Source organism: Homo sapiens, chromosome 10 (genome assembly GCF_000001405.40).
Source record: "Homo sapiens chromosome 10, GRCh38.p14 Primary Assembly".
NCBI classification, from domain to species: Eukaryota; Metazoa; Chordata; class Mammalia; order Primates; family Hominidae; genus Homo; species Homo sapiens.
The window spans coordinates 69,145,430-69,165,180 of record NC_000010.11 but is presented as its reverse complement, the minus strand read 5'-3'; the positions used below and the strand labels follow the sequence as shown (position 1 = coordinate 69,165,180).

Genomic DNA, 19,751 nt, shown 5'->3' with positions numbered 1-19,751 from the left:
CAAGGCAGGCAGACTGCCTGAGCTCAGGAGTTCGAGACCAGCCTAGGCAACACGGTGAAACCCCGTCTCTACTAAAAATACAAAAATTAGCCAGGCATGTTGGCGTGTGCCTATAATCCCAGCTACTCAGGAGGCTGAGGCAGGAGAATTGCTTGAACCCTGGAGGCAGAGGTTGCAGTGAGCCGAGATCACGCCACTGCACTCCAGCCTGGAAACAGAGGGAGACGCCGTCTCCAAAAAAAAAAAAACACCCAACAATATTAGAGGAGAAAGTAAGTTTATATATTTATATATTAAAATCAAAAAGCAGGGATGAAACAATAAAAGATATCAGGACAACTGGTCAGCCATCTGGAAAAAAGTAAAGGTGATACATACCTCACCTCTTACATCACAACACATTTCAAATGAATTAATATTTTAAAAATGAAACAAAATCCCTAAACCACAATGTATTACTTCAGTAGAATCAAGCACAGAAAATTATTTTTAGAACTTCAGTGTGAAAAAGACCTTTCTAACCATGGCATAAAACCCAGAGGCCATAAAATGAAAAACTGATAAATCTGACTACATAAACATCAATAACTTCTACATGGCATGAACCACCACAAACAAGACAAACGAGGGAAATTTTTGCTACCCTTAATATTAGAAAAAGGAATTCAGGGCACAGTGGCTCACACCTGTAAACCCAGCAATTTGGGATGCTGAGGCAGGAGGATCGCTGAGTCCAGGAGTTTGAAACCAGCCTGGGCAACGTAGTGACACCCTGTCTCTACAAAAAAATAAAAAATTAGCTGGGTGTGGTGGCATGTGCCTGTGGCCCCAGCTACCCACAACGCTGAGGTTGGAGGATTGCTCAAGTCCAGGAGTTCAAGGCTGCAGTGAGCTATAATTGTACCATTGCACTCCAGCCTGGGTGACAGTGTGAGACCCTGTCTCAAAAAAAAAAAAGGTGGAGGGGGATTGATTTCTCTAATATATAGTTTCTACACATAAGTAAGAAAAAGAATAGATAATGGGGCAAAGAATATGAATGGCTTACAGAAAATAAAAATTGTTTTTATTCATATGAAGAGATGTTCATCCTCAATAAGAAAACTGAAAATTAGGCCGGGCGCGGTGGCTCACGCTTGTAATCCCAGCACTTTGGGAGGCTGAGGCGGGCGGATCACGAGGTCAGGAGATCGAGACCATCCTGGCTAACACGGTGAAACCCCGTCTCTACTAAAAATACAAAAAAAATTAGCCGGGCGTGATGGTGGGCGCCTGTAGTCCCAGCTACTCGGGAGGCTGAGGCAGGAGAATGGCGTGAACCCTGGAGGCGGAGCTTGCAGTGAGCCGAGATTGCGCCACTGCACTCCCGCCTGGGCCACAGAGCGAGACTCCGTCTCAAAAAAAAAAAAAAAAAGAAAACTGAAAATTAAAACTATAATGGAATATATTAATTAGCTTGACTGTGGTAATCATTTCATAATGTAAACATTCCATCATACATCTTGAATATATACAATTTTTATTTGCCAATTATACCTCAATAAAGCAGTGGGGGAAAAAGAATCCATAAGAAAAATCCCAGAACTACACTGTAGTAGTATCTCCCCCTTACCCATCAAATGAGCTAAAAGTTTTTACAGCATTGTGCTCATGAGAATATGGGGGAAAAGAGGCACTCTCCTACATTCACTGCTGATAGCAATGCAAACTGGGATAATCCCTAAAGAGGACTTACTGATAACATGCATCAAAATTGTAAATGGCCAGGTGCAATGGCTTATGCCTGTAATCATAACACTTTGGGAGGCAGAGGTGGGAGGATAGCTTGAGCCCAGGAGTTCGAGACTAGCCTGGGCAACATAGTGAGACCCTGTTCGCCACAAAAAGGGCAGAAGAATTATAAACAAATATGCTGTTTAACCCATGAATTCCACTTCTAAGATTTTATCTTGCACACGTGCAAAATGACATTATCTGTAATAGCAAAAGACCGGAAACAACCAGTATGTCCACAAACAGCAGACTGGTTCAATTTTAGTATATCAATAAAATGGAAAACTATTAAAAAGATAAAGTATTCTACACATTGTTATGGAAAGTTCTCTAAGATGCACTACTAAGTGGCAAAGCGAAGTATGCATTATACACCACCATTTAAGTAAAAAGGGGTGTGTCTTATACATAGGTACTTGCTTGTATACATAATAACTAATTGGAAAGTTTTGGTTTTTGTTTTTCTTTTTTTTGGAATGGTCTCACTCTGTTGTCCAAGCTGAAGTGCAGTGGCTATTCACAGGCACAATCCCACTACTGATCAGCACAGGAGTTTTGACCTGCTCCACTGAGGATTTTTAAACTTATAATAAACATATTACCTATGAGTAGCTAGAGTACAGAAATAAGATACTTTTTACTGTATACTCTTTTACATTTTATTTTTGAACCATGTGAATTTATTACCTATTCAAAAATTAATTTTTTATAAAAAATAAATTCTGGACAATCAAAAAGTAATTTAAAAAAACATTAAATAACTTACTGCCAGCAATATTAACTAGCAAAATTAGTACTCAATGTGGATATCAAATTATGTTTAAACAATATTTTAAGATTTTAAAAATGTCAACTAAAACAAAGAATTTTAATTTACATACTCTTTTCAACTTACCAATTCCTGTGATCTCTTTTTTGATCAGCTGTAACTCCATATGTTGTATTTTTATTCTTACTAATAAGAAGTAAATTTTTCCAACAATCACATCCTTTAAATGATACCTATTGGGGAAGAACATATCTCACTAAATATCAGTTTAAAAACAAGCAAAAACAGTGAACTATGTCCTAAAAGACTTTGATAGACATCTTTAGTATAATTACTTAAGCCATTTTGAGGCTGGGCACAGTGGCTCTTGCCTGTAATCCTAGCACTCTGGAAGGCCGGGGTGGGCGGATCACTTGAGGTCAGGAGTTCAAGACCATCCTGGCCAACATGGCGAAACTGTCTCTACTAAAAATACAAAAATTAGCTGGGCATGGTGGCACATGCTTGTGATCCCTGCTACTTGGGAGGCTGAAGCGGGAGGACTGCCTGAACCCAGCAGGTGAAGGCTGCAGTGAGGCAAATCACACCACTGCACTCCAGCTTGGGTGACAGCAAGACTCCATCTCAAAAAAAAAAAAAAAAAAGTACTATTTTGAGCTCTTTCCTTGCCGCTGCTGAGTTGCATGGAGGTGGCGGCCTGGGTGTATTCAAGATTCAGTTTCACTCACCACCATGGCTGAGGAAGGCATTGCTGCTGGAGGTATAAGGGACGTTACTACTGCTTTACAAGAGGTGCTGAAGACCACCCTCATCCATGATGGCCTAGCATGTGGAATTCACAAAGCTGCCAAAGCCTTAGACAGGCACCAAGCTCATCTTTGTGTGCTTGCATCTAATTGTGATGAGCCCATGTATGTTAAGTTGGTGGAGGCCCTTTGTGCTGAACCCCGGTTGATGACAAGAAGAAACTGGGGAATGGGTAAGCCTCTATAAAACTGACAGATGGGGGAAACCCCGTAAAGTGGTTGTTTGCAGTTGTGCAGTAATTAAGAACTATGGCAAGGAGTCTCAGGCCAGGATGTCATCAGAGAATACTTCAAATGAATAAATAAAACTTTGGCTCACCAAAAACAAAAACCAACAACAACCATTTTGATTATTCATATTGTTTAGTGTTCTTTTTTTCAAAAAAGTATTCATCATTTCACTATGCAAATAAGGAATCAAACTTTTACTTGACTACCTCAGAGGGAATAATTACCCTGGTTAACTGTTCTGGCTGGGCTCAGTGGCTCACACCTATAATCCCAGTACTTTGGGAGGCCCAAGGCGACAGGATTGCTTGAACCCAGGAGTCTAAGACCAGCCTAGGCAACATAGGGGGATGTAATCTCTTCTAAAAATTAGCTGGGTGGTGCAAAATTAGTGGCACATGCCTGTGATCCTAGCTACTCAGGAGGCTGAGGTGAGATGATAATTTGAGCCTGGGAGATTGAGGCTGCAGTGACTCATGATTGTGCCACTGCACTCCAGCCTGGGTGACAGAGCCAGACTCTTTCTCAAAACAAACACACACAAAAAATACTTGAAATATTTGGTGTATGAAGATATTTTCAACATTAAAAGACACAAGAGTTTAGTGTCATTATTACTCAAGTTCTACAAGAGTGCAGCTAACATAAATCATCTGCCCACAAAGACAAAGTAAAAGAAACCTACCTACATAGGTTGAGTCTGCTGTTGTGATAGCTAATAACCAAAGGTCGCTCCCACGTACCTTGTAATGATGTGGTAATAAACTTAGGAATCCCTATAATATCCAGAGGACTTTTTAGCATCCTCCCAGGTTTGGCTCTCAAAATTGTATCTCAAGAGTTGGTTAATATAAATTATGTCAGGCCGGGCACGCCTGTAATCCCAGCACTTTGGGAGACCAAGGCGGGCAGATCACCTGAGGTCAGGAGTTCAAGACCAGCCTAGCCAACATGGTGAAACCCCATCTCTACTAAAACTACAAAAATTAGCCGGGCGTGGTGGCACATGCCTGTCATCCCAGCTACTCAGGAGGCTGAGGCAGGAGAATTGCTTGAACTCAGGAGGTAGAGGTTGCAGTGAGCCGAGATCATGCCACTGCACTCCAGACGGGACGACAGAGATTCCGACTCCAAAAAAAAAAAAATATGTTGGGCGCGGTGGCTCATGCCTATAATCCCAGCACTTTGGGAGGCCAAGGCGGGTGGATCATGAGGTCAGGAGTTTGAGACCAGCCTGACCAACATGGTGAAACCCCGTCTCCACTAAAAATACAAAAATTAGCCAGGCATAGTGGCAGGCACCTGTAATCCCAGCTACTCAGGAGGCTGAGGCAGGAGAATCCCTTGAACCCAGGAGGCAGAGGTTGCAGTGAGCCGAGATCACGCCATTGCACTCCAGCCTGGGCGACAAAGTGAGACTCAAACAAACAAAAAACTGTGTGTGTGTGTGTGTGTGTGTGTGTGTGTGTGTGTGTGTAAAAATTATGTCAGTCTGAAGGGAAGCTTCAGTGGTTTCAGGTCCTAAACTATTTGATAATTTCATCAACAATATAATTTTAAGATTCTGAAGTCCATATGTATTACATATTCAGTGATATAAACCTGGGAGTGACAACCAATAAAAATAATGTAACAAAAGACTGGGGTATGAAAGGGATAATACAGGGCACATCCATTTCTTCAACAAACAAACTTTAATAAAAAAAATAGAAGGGAAACCTATAAATTAAAAAATTTAAGGCTCAAACAACCAAATGCAATGTGTGGCCCTAGTTTAAATATTGATTTGAACAAAGTATGTGAAAAAAGAAAGATATCTGTGAGCCAATTAGGGAAATGTGAATACTGTCTGGGTGTATGAAGATATTAAGGAATTACTAATATTTTTAGATATAAGAGTATTGTAGTTATATTTAGAATGATATATAACTTTTTAAAACTTTTTTCTGAATAGACACAGAAAACAAGCTTGTCATATAACATTTAAATAAGAGATATGTAAAGTCAATACATAATTTCATCCTTTACAGATAACCACTGTTAACAACAGAATATCATTGCAGACTCTTTTCTATTCATATCCAAATACATGAGTATTTTACAGAAATGAAACAGTACTATGCATGCTGTTTTTATGGCTAAATTTTTCACTTAATATATCATGGACACGCTTCTGGAGAACTAAATACATATGTCTCAATCTTTTTTTTTTGTTTTTTTTTTTGAGATGGAGTCTCCCTCTGTCACCCAGGCTGGACTGCAGTGGCGTGATCTCAGCACACTGCAACCTTTACCTCCCAGGTTCAAGCAATTCTCCTCCCTCAGCCTCCCAAGTAGCTGGGATTACAGGCATGCACCGCCACACCCATCTAATTTTTGTATTTTCAGTGGAGACGGAGTTTCTCCATGTTGACCATGCTGGTCTCAAACTCCTGACCTCAGGTGATCAAACTCTGCCCACCTTGGCCTCCCAAAGTGCTGGGATTACAGGTGTGAGCCACCGCACCCGGCCTCAATCTTTTTAACCCTTCTTTAGCATTCCACAGTATGGCTGGACCATAATTTATTTAACTGTTATAATACCAGTGGGCATTTAAATGGCAATCTTTTGTTCATGTAAGTAATGTTTCTGAGAACATCTTAGTCCATGTATAAAATGATATTGATACAGCTTCCCACAGATTGTATCGAAGCAAATTCCACATATATAATTTAATTGATAAAATGATACATAATTTTATGGGTTAAATTAAATGTCTGGAATTTGCTTCAATATAACCTATGGGGAGTATGAGAGCTGAATACAGATAAACTGGATTGTGTGTTGATAACTGTTGGAGCTGGGCAATGGGTACATGAGGATTCATTATATTATTCAGTATACTGTTCAAATATTTTAGTATATGCTTGAAATTTCCCATAATAAAATTTAAAAAGGCATTAAACACAAGCAAAATATGAGCCAGTTTTGTAAAAATACAACATATATAAACATATATACCTTCCCCCTCCCCCCAAGAAATGATATACAAGGAGACATTAACAGTGATTAAGTGGTAAAGGTGAAAATATGTGAAAAGAGATGGCTAGGATGAGGTAATATCAAGCCAGTAAGATAAATTGTATCCTCAGAAGGACTGGCTGCCTTCTGAGATGGTGACATCCTCTACACAAAGTGGCCAAGCAGAGATTTATCAGGAATAGAACATAAAAGACACCTTTACTGAGTGGAAACCAGACCAAACTCCTAAAATTTCTTTTAGCTCAGAGATCCTGTTGATTTGTTAACATCAGATTAATGTCAATTCTATCCTTACTTTGACCAACTGACAAACACCTGAAAAGTTAATTTTTGAATTTTCTCTGAACAACTTATCTGTGAATGATACTTACTTTGATTTATTATATTCAAATTCTATATGTAGACAATCTTCAATGCCCACTTCCATCTTAATAGAGTTGTTAACATCAGGATAGGTGGCAAGCTGGTGAACAATAAGATCATACTCTTTTACCAAATCTGTCAGTCTTCTCACTATTGTCACTTTAAGAAAATACCTACAAAGTTAAAAGAGAGTCGATGAGTTAAATCACCTGTGATAAATTTTCATGTTTTAAATCAGCAAACATTAACTGCAACTCAGGCTTCTCCTCCTTGCTGGAACTCCTTTGGGATCAACTTACTTCATTACTTCACGAAGGAGTTCCAATTTTCTTTAATGCCCCCAACATGAAAAAAAATACAAAGTTCAATTTTAAGAATAGTGTAAATACTTTACAGATGAGTTTGGAGGGCTGTCATCAAGCCTACTTGAAGAAACCTCTCCAGATCACTTCTTTAAGGAACTGCTATTTGAAATTTGGGTTGTCAAACCCAGTTCCAGATAGATAATGCCAAGTTAAACAGAGAAAGCAAGATCTCGGACCTGATGCATTCAGATTAATATCCTGAAATGCCCTGGACTCTGAGGCATCCCTGGCTTCCTGCATACAGACTTAGTGAAGGGAAAGGACACTGAATTGAGAGTTTAGAAAACTAGGTTCGTACTCCTTTTCTGCCATCCACTATTTGTGTCATTTTAGATGTATCAGAGCCTCTCTGGTACTCCAGATTACTTCTGAACCATATACTAAAGGAGATTTTCTGGGAAACTAGTGGATTTAGAAGGTCATTCAGTTTACATGACAAATGAAGTACGTAAGGGACAATTCATACCAGGGAAGTGTATAACTGAAATGTCTCATAACAATGTTGTCTAACTCTATAATGTTAGAACGCTCTATTACCTCAAATCAGCATTAGCCAAAGTATGTGACAGAATTTTTAAAAATCTTAAATCTTCCAATACAGAATTATAATTAGAGGTTCAAATAAGATATCAACAGTAGTCATTACTTTCTGGTTTTGATTCTGTTTACAGTTTATAATACACATTCATACCTCAAGCGGACATTGGCACCGATGTAAGATTCATATGGCTTTTCAACTTGCATAAATTCAAAATCATAACTTCTGCTCTGAGTCAGTTCTCCAGGTAAGGCTAGTTCTTTCACTAGGTTTACAAATTCATGAGTATTACTCTTGTCATTGAAAAGTTCTGAGAAATTTTAAAAGGCAAAAAGACCAATTATTTAATAGCCATTTCAATAAAACCCAGACATCTACTTCAAACACAAACGATTTTTACCAAAAGAATTATTGAGTTTGTCTCTAATAAACTAGACCTATGCTCTGAATTCCATTATCCTTTTTATAATTATACTTCATGTAGGCATAAAAGATTTCAAGTGGCATAGCACAATGAAAATTTCTTTAAAAATGAGTTCATTCCTTTGATGTAGTTGGGGCTCTCCCAATATGAAGCCATTTGACACATTACCAGCAATTATTTGAACTTCCCCTAGACAAGGCAAAAATTCTATTTTGCTTTAGTTAGGCAAATATATTACCTTCATAAAATTACAAAACACAAAAAGACTAAAACCAACTATCAATTACTACAACTTGCCTCTCAGTCAGAATAGACATGTAAGTACACTCTCAGTCAGAACAGATATATAAATATCTACCCATTCCAATTCTGATACTTTAAAAATGTACACTGAAACTTAGAAAGCTAGATTTTAAGCCTAGTTATGTAGACAGTATTATAAAGACATATTTTCTTTTCTCTTCTGAATCTTCAGTATAGAAAGATTTATATAGTTTAACTCCCTACTAAATCAAGCATTCATCTGGAATCATGTATGGAAATGTACATAAGTTGATCTAAGTCAAGAAGAAACTACACCTTTCCTTCTCACATGGAATTGTGTGTTGACACAAGTGAGTCTGGCTACAGGCACACACTAGATCAGGAAGACAAATGGCATGGGTAATTAGAAAATGAAGAATGAAGGTGAGGCTGCTAATTATAAGAAGGATGGTGAAAAATGCAGGCAGATGAAAATTTCAGTAGGTCAACTAATTTACTTGAATTAGTTTTCAAGGCTGGTAGTTTCATATATATCATGAAATGATATATCAAATATCATTTCATACAAGTCAAAGAAACACAATTTAATATAGTTATAAAGTAAATCCTCTCTTTTATTATGCAAAATCAATTCCTTCCTTCTACAAAGCTAAGCTCTAATTCAATTATTTTGGTGCAAAATCCAACCCTCTTCAAATTCAGTTATCAAAGAAAAAGAAATAATACTATTTTAAAACTCACCAATTTGACCTACAAATTCAATTCTAATTCCTTGGTGTTCTAGCCTCTTTCCAGGTTGCTTAAAGGCTAGGTTTACCTGCCAAAACATGAAATTATAAGAGATGTTAACAATCCTATGAGTGGGCCTACTAGTAGCTTCCTTTCAGATGAATGCAATATATAAATATTTCAGGTATTCATTTATGAAGTTTGAGACACCACCACATACCTAAATCAGGATGATGTTATAGCACCAGAGAAGGTGTAATTTAGTTATACACAATCATGGGTGAACCTCTTATTTACATCAACATAAAGTCTGCTTTGTTAAGAAGGAATCCTTAATAGGTGGAGAACTATAAAAAGACTCAAAGAAAGGAACAGCCTTCAACTATCCATATTTGTTTTCTGGTCAAACAGTTAATTCTATGACTAATAAAAGCATTTTAATGTGAGGTAATTACTAATTTCAAGAACTGACCTAAAAACAGATGCAATTCCAGGACATTTAAATCAAGCAAGACTAACATCCACACAACTAGGACTATATTATGGACAATGCTCAGAAATTTGTCGGTCAAATCATAGCTTCATACTTATTGTAATTGAGGTATCACTTTCAGTTTTCTGTAACCAATATATTATTATAATTCCTAACCTTAAAAGCAGTGCCTTTTGTCCTAAGTCTGCTACCCACCATAAAAACAGAATGCCTAAAGATTTAAATTCAAGTATGATTTATCTTACATACTTTTTTTTTTTTCCAGAAAGGACTCTGTTGCTTAGGCTGGAGTGCAGTGGCACAATCATAGCTTACTGCAGCCTCAACCTCTTGGGCTCAAATGATCCTCCTCCCTCAGCCTCCCAAAGTGCTAGAAGTACAGGCATGAGCTACTGCACCTGGCCATTATCTTACATACTTTTGGAGTAAAATATATAATCTCAAAATCCCTAAACTCATATATCTGCCAAGTGGAAATCTTAAAAAAAAAATATATATATGTGCACGCACGTGCGCGTGCGCGCACACACACACATATTTTAAGAGACAGAGTCTCACTCTGTCACCCAGGCTGGAGTACAGTGCATGATTATTGCTCACTACAGCTTTGAACCCCTAGGGTTAAGTGATCCTCCTGCCTCAGCCTCCAAATAGCTGGGACTATAGGGATGCATAACTACACCAAGCTAATTAAAAAAATTTTTTTTGTAGAGATGAGGTCTCACTATATTGCCCAAGCTGGTCTCAAACTCCTGGCCTCAAGCAGTTCTGCCACATTGGACTCCCAAAGTGCTGGGCTTACAGGCATGAGCCACTGTACTGGCCACAAACTCATCTTTAAGATCTATATAGAATTCCTTTTTTTTGTTTTAGACGGAGTTTCGCTCTTGTTGCCCAGGCTAGAGTGCAGTGGCAAGATCTTGGCTCACTTCAACCTCCATCTCCCAAGTTCAAGCAATTCTCCTGCCTCAGCCTCCCAAGTAGCTGGGATTACAGGCATGTGCCACCACGCCCAGCTAATTTTGTATTTTTGGTGGAGATGGGGTTTCATTATGTTGCTCAGGCTGGTCTCAAACTCCTGACCTCAGGTGATCCACCCACCTCGGCCTCCCAAAGTGCTGGGATTACAGGCATGAGTCATCACGCCCAGCCAGATCTACAAAGAATTCTATTGTTTGGCTACACCACCATTTACCTGCTGAATCCCCTGTATGGTCATATAGGTTGTTTCTCAATTGTCTTTCTTGATAACACTCTTCTTCTCTAAGTATTACCTGAGACAGTCAAGGATACAACTTCACATTGCTTGGCATGGGAGTCAGGGCTCCGTTCAAGTACCATTAGTTCACTGTGAGATGACCAGGGTCTAGACTTGAAGCCAGCCTGCTCCTATGATGGGTGTTTCTCTGCATGTGTTTACAATCCTACCGGGTTCCCCTTCTCTAAGATTCTGATTGTATTTTGTATATTCATTTATTCACTTGTTCACTGAATGTACCCAGCCCTGTGCTGGCTACTATTGAAAGATGTATGTAGTCTGAGAATATCATCTTACCCTCAAAGAACAGAGAAATCAGAAAAAGGAAAGAGAAAGCAGAGAATCAGGTGGAGTCTCAATATATTGCCCAGGCTGGTCTCGAACACCTGGCCTCAAGCAATCCTCCTGCCTCAAGTGACCATACCCAGCCAAATTTATAACTTTTTAATTTGAGAAAGATATCTGTGAACTATGTATGTTAGAAATAAAATTCCAAGCTAGGCGTGGTGGCTCATGCCTATAATTTCAGCACTTTGGGAGGCAGAGGCAGGAAGGCTGCTTAATTAAGGTCAGGAGTTCAAGACGAGCTTGGACAATATAGCAAGGCTCCGTCTCTACTAAAAAAAAAAAAAAAAATTAGCTGGGTATTGGGGCGTGTGTGCCTGTAGTCCCAGCTACTAGGGAGACTGTGGCAGGAGGAGCCTTTGACCCTAGGAGGTCGAAGGTGCAATGAGCTAAGATTACACCACTGCACTCCAGCCTGGACAACAGGGCAAGACCTTGTCTCAGACAAAAAAAAGGCAGGGCACAGTGGCTCATGCCTGTAATCTTAGCACTTTGGGAGGCCGAGGACAGTGGATTACTTGAGATGAGGAGTTCCAGACCAGCCTGGCCAACATGGTGAAACCTCGTCTCTACTAAAAATACGAAAATTAGCTGGACGTGGTGGCACATGCCTGTAATCCCAGCTACTTGGGAGGCTAAGGCAAGAGAATCACTTGAACCCGGGGGGCGGAGGTTGCAGTGAACCACTGCACTCCAGCCTGGGCAACAGAGCAAGACTCTATCTCCCCCTGTACCCGCCAACCGAAAAAAAAAAAAACAACTTAACATTTAAGAATTAGGTAGGATCCTTTTTCATACAAAAAAGCATACTTCCAGGTTTCTTTTTTTTTTTTTGAGACAGAGCCTCGCTCTGTCGCCCAGGCTGGAGTGCAGTGGCACGATCTTGGCTCACTGCAAGCTCTGCCTTCCAGGTTCATGCCATTCTCCTGCCTCAGCCTCCTGGGTGGCTGGGACTACAGGCGCCCGCCACCATGCCCGGCTAATTTTTTTGTATTTTTAGTACAGACGGGGTTTCACCATGTTAGCCAGGATGGTCTTGATCTCCTGACCTCGTGATCCACCCGCCTCGGCCTCCCAAAGTGCTGGGATTACAGGCATGAGCCACTGTGCCCCGCCGTTTTTTACTATAACAAATGCTGGTAATGTAACTTTTAAAAGCTTTTCTTACAAATAATGTTTCTCAAAAGATAACAGAAATCAAGGAACAAGAAAAAGAGGTCCAATTACTTCTGTTTGTAAACTGCATAGATTAAAATATTCATCTTCTGTATCTTCCCTATCTTATAACCAATATAAGTTAGTTACTTGCCTTCAAAATAACTCAGAAAAAAGTAAATTGTGATACACCATATGATGGAATATTATTAAAAGTTTAAAAACAATAATGATAAAGAATTTTTAATGATGTGGGTAGATATGCATGATGTGTTACGTGAATAAAGCATGGTTAAATTGTATACAAGTATATGCCGATTATATTTTTTGAAACTACAGAAAGAGAATACTCTTAACAGCAGTTACTTCTGAAATGAATGATTATTGATTATGGGTAATTGTTTCCTTCTCTGGTTTTTAAGTTTTTGTTTTGTTTTTTGTAGACAGGGTCTTGCTGTGTCACCCAGGCTGGAGCGCAGTGGCACCATCATGACTCACTGCAGCCTCAATCTGCCAGGCTCAAGTGATTCTCCCACCTCAGCCTCCCAAATAGCTGAAATTACAGGCACATGCCACCATGCCTGGCTAATTTTTTTTATACAGGGTCTTACTATGTTGCCCAGGCCTCTTTAAAAAAAAAGGCAAAAAATACTATTAAAGTCAGAAAAATATTTAAGAAAGAAAAGTAGTACTTAAACAGGCTTAACATTAAAAATTTTATATTTGAACCACAAATAATAAAACAAGCATAATCCCAGCTATTTCAAAAGCCATGCAGTAATTTGAACTATAATCTCTACCAACAAAGCATATAGAAAAAAATTATATTTTTGAAAATACCTATATGGCAGCAGTTTTTAAGAATGATTTTATTTGAACATGGCTTTGTCTGATATTTTTAAAACTTACAGTTCTTCAAAAACCATCATGAAACCACACTATTAAAGTACAAATGCAAAGTTTTTCAGTCTTCCTACCAAACTGCAAACTCTGAAATTTTCCTTGATCTCCCACTGATGTTAAAACACAGTTGCTTTTAAGCCTTATTGTAGGCTCTTCTGCAATATGAAGAATCCCAGAATTTGAAGGCATAATTAAGCATTTTGGTTTAAAAGCTATTCTGCAAGGAAGCACAGAAAAGTAAACTAACTATGCTGGTGAGCTGGGTCAAGAATTTTTTTTTTTTTTTTTTTTTTTGAGACGGAGTCTCGCCCTGTAGCCCAGGCTGGAATGCATTGGTGTGGTCTCGGCTCACTGCAACCTCTGCCTCCCCAGTTCAAGTGATTCTCCTGCCTCAGCCTCCTGAGTAGCTGGGATTACAGGCAACTGCCACCACACACCCGGCTAATTGTGTGTGTGTGTGTGTTTTTTTTTTTTTTTTTTTGACATGGAGTCTCACTCTGTTGCCCAGGCTGGAGTGCAGTGGCCTGATCTCAGCTCACTGCAAGCTCTGCCTCCTGGGTTCACACCGTTCTCCTGACTCAGCCTCCCGAGTAGCTGGGACTACAAGTGCCCGCCACCATGCCCGGATAATTTTTTGTATTTTTAGTAGAGACGGGGTTTCACCATGTTAGCCAGAATGGTCTCCATCTCCTGACCTCTTGATCTGCCTGCCTCGGCCTCCCAAAGTGCTGGGATTACAGGTGTGTGCCACCACGCCCAACCTATGTCAAGAGTCTTAATACCAATTCAGTTATACTTTTCTAACTTCTTATTATAATTCAAAAACTTGCAAAAAACTTGCAAGAATAGCACAAGGAAATCTCACATAACCTTTACCCAGATTCAGCACAAGTTTTATATTCTGCCCCATCTGCTTTATCATCATCTCTCTACATATATATGGGCATGCATATATATACTTTTTTCCACAACAAAGAGTAAGTTGGAGACATGATGCTCCATTACCCCTAAACATTTCATATGTATTTCCTAAGAAAACAGACATTCTCTGCCGGGCGCGGTGGCTCACGCCTGTAATCCCAGCACTTTGGGAGGCCAGGGCAGGCAGATCATGAGGTCAGGAGATCTAGACCATCCTGGGTAACATGGTGAAACCCCGTCTCTACTAAAAATACAAAAAATTAGCCGGGTGTGGTGGCAGGCGCCTGTAGTCCCAGCTACTCAGGAGGCCGAGGCAGGAGAATGGTGTGAAACCCAGGAGGTGGAGCTTGCAGTGAGCCGAGATCGTGCTACTGCACTCCAGCCTGAGGGACACTCCATCTCAAAAAAGAAAAGAAAATTCGCATTCTCTTACATAATCACAGTGCAATTATCAAAATCAGGAAAGTTGGGCCGGGCGCAGTGGCCCACGCCTGTAATCCCAGCACTTTGGGAGGCTGAGGTGAGCGGACCGCTTCAGGTCAGGAGTTCGAGACCAGCCTGACCAACATGGTGAAACCCCGTTTTCTACAAAAAAATACAAAAATTAGCCAGGTGTGATGGTGCATGCCTCTAGTCCCAGCAAATTGGGAGGCTGAGGTGGGAGTATCACTAGAACCCGGGAGGCACAGTTTGCAGAGAGCCACTGCACTCCAGCCTGGATGACAGAGTAAGACTCAGTCTCAAATAAAAAATAAATAAAAATAAAATAAAATAAATGAGGGCCAGGTGCAGTAGCTCACGCCTGTAATCCCAGCACTTTGGGAGGCCAAGGCAGGTGGATCACTTGAGGTCAGGAGTTAAGAGACCAGCCTGGCCCACATGGTGAAACCCTATTTCTACTAAAAATACAAAAATTAGTAGGGCGTGATGGCACGCGCCTGTTCCAGCTACTCAGGAAGCTGAGGCTAGAGAATCACTTCAACCTGGGAGGCAGAGGCTGCAGTGAGCTGAGATCATGCCACTGCACTCCAGCCTGGGTGACAGACGAAGACTCCATCTCAAAAAAAAAAAAAAAAAAAAAAAAAAAAAACAAAAAACACCAAGAAAGTTAACATTCCATGGTCTATATTCAAATTCTATCAATTGTTCCAATAGGGACAGGCACAGTGGCTCAGACCTGTACTCCTGGCACTTTGGGAGGCTGAGGTGTGAGGATCACTTGAGCTCAGTAGTTTGTGGCTACAGTGAGCCATTATCACACCACTGCACTCCATGCTGGGCGACAGGAGACACTGTCTTAAAAAAAAATTTTAAATGTGTTCCAATAATGTACTTTATAGTCTTTTCCTCTCCAGTCCAGGATTACATATCTCTTTAGTATCCTTTTTAATCTAGAACATTCCTCAATCATCATCTTTCTTGACCCTGACTTATTTAAAAATACAGGACAGTTTATAGACTGTACCTCAATTTGGTGTGTCTGATGTTTCATCACAGTTAGACTCAGCTTACACACTTTTGGAAAAAAGACCACAAAAGTGTAGTTGTATCTATTTCAATGCATCATATTAGGAAGCATACAATGCCAGTTTGTCCCAATACTGATTGATGTTAATTTTGGTCACTTGGTTAATCTACCAAGTTTCTCTAATTTAAAGTTATTATTCTCCCCTTTGCTATTAATGAATAATTTGTGTGCAGATACTTGAGACTACATAGGTTTAAAATGAACGTAAAAAAAAACAGATCTACATACAAAACATACTCTTGGCTGGGCGCGGTGGCTCACACTGGTAATCCCAGCACTTTGGGAGGCTGAGGCAGGCAGATCAAGAGGTCAGGAGATGGAGACCATCCTGGCTAACACGGTGAAACCCCATCTCTACTAAAAATACAAAACAATTAGCTGGGCGTGGTGGCGGGCACCTGTAGTCCCAGCTACTCGGGAGGCTGAGGCAGGAGAATGGAGTGAACCTGGGAGGCAGAGCTTGCAGTGAGCTGAGATCGTGCCACTGCACTCCAGCGTAGGCAACAGAGTGAGACTCCGTCTCAAAAAAAAAAAAAAAAAAATACTCTCTGCTCCAACAAATGAGTCTCAAAGCTCATGCCTCAGTATACAATATTCTAGAGATGTCTCGAATAATGCTATCTTCAGAATTTATTTAAGGAGTTACATTATTCTACACTGTTTAAGACAAACATATACTATCAATGTACCACACACCATTTATACACTCATTTTAAAATCAGACACCAAATTATCTGTATATTATTGTTGCTGGATATTGTGATTATCCAAAATTAGTTTCCAACTGCTGCCAGTGGAAATCCAAGATTAGTTTGCAACTGCTGTCATAGTCCATATGCATATTGATGAAAGATGCCACAAAAATATTCCTTGCTTAAAGAACTAAACTATAAACTACTATAATCTTGGACTAAACAAAAGTCAACCCCTGTGTTGACTTTTGCAACAGGGAATAGATCCAGAGTTCACTCTAAGTGGCTTGTCAATAGTAGTACCACCTCAAGCCATTTTACTTGCCACAGATTCAATTTCTAAAAAAGAAATAAAAATGTCTTACAAATGAAAGTAGAGAACAGTGAAAATTGACTTCTAAAATAATATCTCACTTTGAAATAATTACCAACTATCTTAATTACTAAATATCTCTTTACCTTAAATAGATACAATAAGAGGTTCTTTTATTCTCTGCCTGTTGTGACAGTAGCTATTTCATATTTATAAAAAAAAAATTCTCAGCAATACCTAAAGAGTTTGACAAAGTTTTCATATGAAAACACAATACAGGGGCTGGGCACGGTGGCTCATGCCTGTAATCCCAGCACTGTGGGAGGCCGAGGCATGCTAATCTCGAGTCCAGTAGTTCGAGATCAGCTGGGGCACAATGGCGAAATCCTGTCTCTACAAAAAAATATAAAAATTAGGTGGGCATGGTGGCACATGCCTGTGGTCCAAGCTACTCAGGAAGGTGAGGTGGGAGGATCACTTGAGCCCAGAAGGTGGAGGTTGCAGTGAGCCGAGATTGTGCCACTGCACTCCAGCCTGGCGACAGAGCAGGACTCTGTCAAAAAATAAAAATAAAAAATAAAAAATAAAATGCCACAGAGGTGCCAAAACAATTCAATGGGGAAGGAATATTCTTTTCAGCAAATAGTGCTGAAACAACTGGATACTGACATGCAAAAGAATAAAGTTGGACTGCTGCCTCACGCCATCACAAATATTAACTCATTTGGATAAAACACCTACATGTAAAAGCTACAATTAAAAAACTCTTAGAAGAAAACATGGGTGCAAATCTTCATGACCTTTGGATTAGGCAATGATTTCTCAGAAATAATGCCAAAAGCACAAGCAACAAAAGAAAAAAAAATTGATAAATTGGACCTCATCAAAATGTAAAACTTTTGCACTGCAAAAGACACCAAGAAAGTGGAAAGAGAACTCAGAATGGGAGAAAATATTTGCAAAACACATATCTGGACTTGTAACCAGAATATATAAAGAACTCTTACAACTCAACCATAAAAAGAAAAATAACCCAATTAAAAAAATAGTCAAATTTTGAATAGAGTTTTCTCCAAGAAACACAGACATATGGCAATAAGCACATGAAAAGATGTTCAATATTATTACTCACTGGGGAACTGAAAATCAAAATGAGATACCACTTTATACCCACTAAAATACCTATAATAAAAAATAGACATATTAGTAAGTGTTGCCAAGAACATGGAAAAACCAAAACCCTTATATATTGCTGGAGGCAATCTGAAAGGGTGCAGCTGCTTTGGAAAAATTTGGCGGTTCTTCTAAAAATTAAACAGGAAGTTAACATATGACCCAGCAATTCTACTGCTAAGATCCAACAGAAGTTAAAACATATGTTCACACAAAAACCTGTACATGAATGTTCACAGCAGTATTATTCATAATGGTCAAATAGTACCAACCCAAATGTCCTCAACTGATGAATAAACAAAATGTGGTATATCCTTATACCACACGGATATATTAGAATATTATCTGGCACCAAAAACAAACAAAAGAAGAATGATGTTCTCATACATGCAATAACATGGATGAACCCTGAAAACATGCTAAATGAAATAAGTCAGGCACAAAAGGACAAATATTATATGACCACTTATACAAAATATCTAAAATAGGCAAATTCATAGAAACGGACAGTAGATTAGAGGTTACCAGGGGCTGGAAGATGGGGAGTTACCGCTTAATGGGTACAAAGTTTCTATTTGAGGTGATGAAAAAATTTTGGAAATATAGTAGCTATGCTTGCAAAACATTATCAATGGAATTAATTCCACTGAATTATATACTTTAAAACTGTTAAAATGGCAAATTTTATGTAATATATATTTGACCACAATTTTTTTAAAAAAGAATTAAGTGTTGACCAGGCACGGTGGCTCACGCCTATAATTCCAGCACTTTGGGAAACCGAGGTGGGCAGATCATAAGGTCAGAAGTTTGAGACCAGCCTGGCCAACATGGTGAAACCCCGTCTGTACTAAAAATTAGCTGGGCGCGGTGGCAGGCACCTGTAATCCCAGCTACTCGGAAGGCTGAGGCAAGAGAATTGCTTGAACCCAGGAGGCAGAGGTTGCAGTGAGCCCGTATCACACCACTGTACTCCAGCGTGGGTGACAGAGCGAGACTCCATCTCGAATGAATGAATGAATGAATAAGTGATTGAATAAAAATAAAAAGGAATGAAGTATGGGTACATACTACAACACGATGAACCTTGAAAACATTATGCTAGGTAAAAGGAGCCAGACACAAAAGGCCACACAGTATATGCCATTTATATGAAATGTCCAGAATCAATAAATTCAGCAAGAAAGAAAGAAGATTTGTAAATTAGTGGTTCTCATGTAGTGACTGCTAATAATATGGGATTTCTTTTTGGGGTGGTGAAAATGTTCTGGAATTACATTTTGATAATGGTGGCTCAACTCTGCAAATATAGTAAAAATCACTATACACTCTAATAGGTGAATTTTATGGCATGTGAATTATAACTCAATTAGGCTATTTAAAAAAAAAAAAGAAAAGAAAAAAGTACATGCCACAAATAGGCCAACAGAACAGAATAAAATTCTGAACAGGTTCACACAACCTCTGATTTATGACAAAGGTGGTATATTACAGTGCAGCAGGAGAAAGGATGGCTTCTTCAATATACATCCTGGGTTCATTAGCTATCCATACAGAAGAAAAATACATTTGACTCCTGTGTCACACCACAGACTGATTTATGACAAAGGTGGTATGACAGTGCAGTGGAAAAGGATGGCTTTTTCAGTATACATCCTGGGTTCATTAGTATCCATACAGAAGAAGAAA

General features: G+C 39.3%; 1 protein-coding gene and 1 pseudogene across 5 annotated transcripts in view; one reads left to right on the top strand and one right to left on the bottom strand.

The window, feature by feature from the left end:
• Positions 1-19,751, bottom strand: part of VPS26A (VPS26 retromer complex component A) — a 50,235-nt gene that overhangs the window by 9,232 nt on the left and 21,252 nt on the right. For 4 of the 5 annotated variants that reach the window (NM_001318944.2, NM_001318945.2, NM_004896.5 and 1 more), the window contains 4 exons: positions 9,294-9,369; positions 8,018-8,174; positions 6,970-7,134; positions 2,669-2,775 (listed from right to left, as the gene is read on the bottom strand). In NM_001318944.2, coding sequence (NP_001305873.1) covers positions 2,669-2,775; positions 6,970-7,134; positions 8,018-8,174; positions 9,294-9,369 — 505 coding nt within the window. The remainder of the gene's footprint in view (positions 1-2,668; positions 2,776-6,969; positions 7,135-8,017; positions 8,175-9,293; positions 9,370-19,751) is intronic. The other variant, NM_001318946.2, reaches the window with a different exon arrangement.
• RPS12P17 (ribosomal protein S12 pseudogene 17) lies at positions 3,200-3,667 on the top strand (annotated as a pseudogene).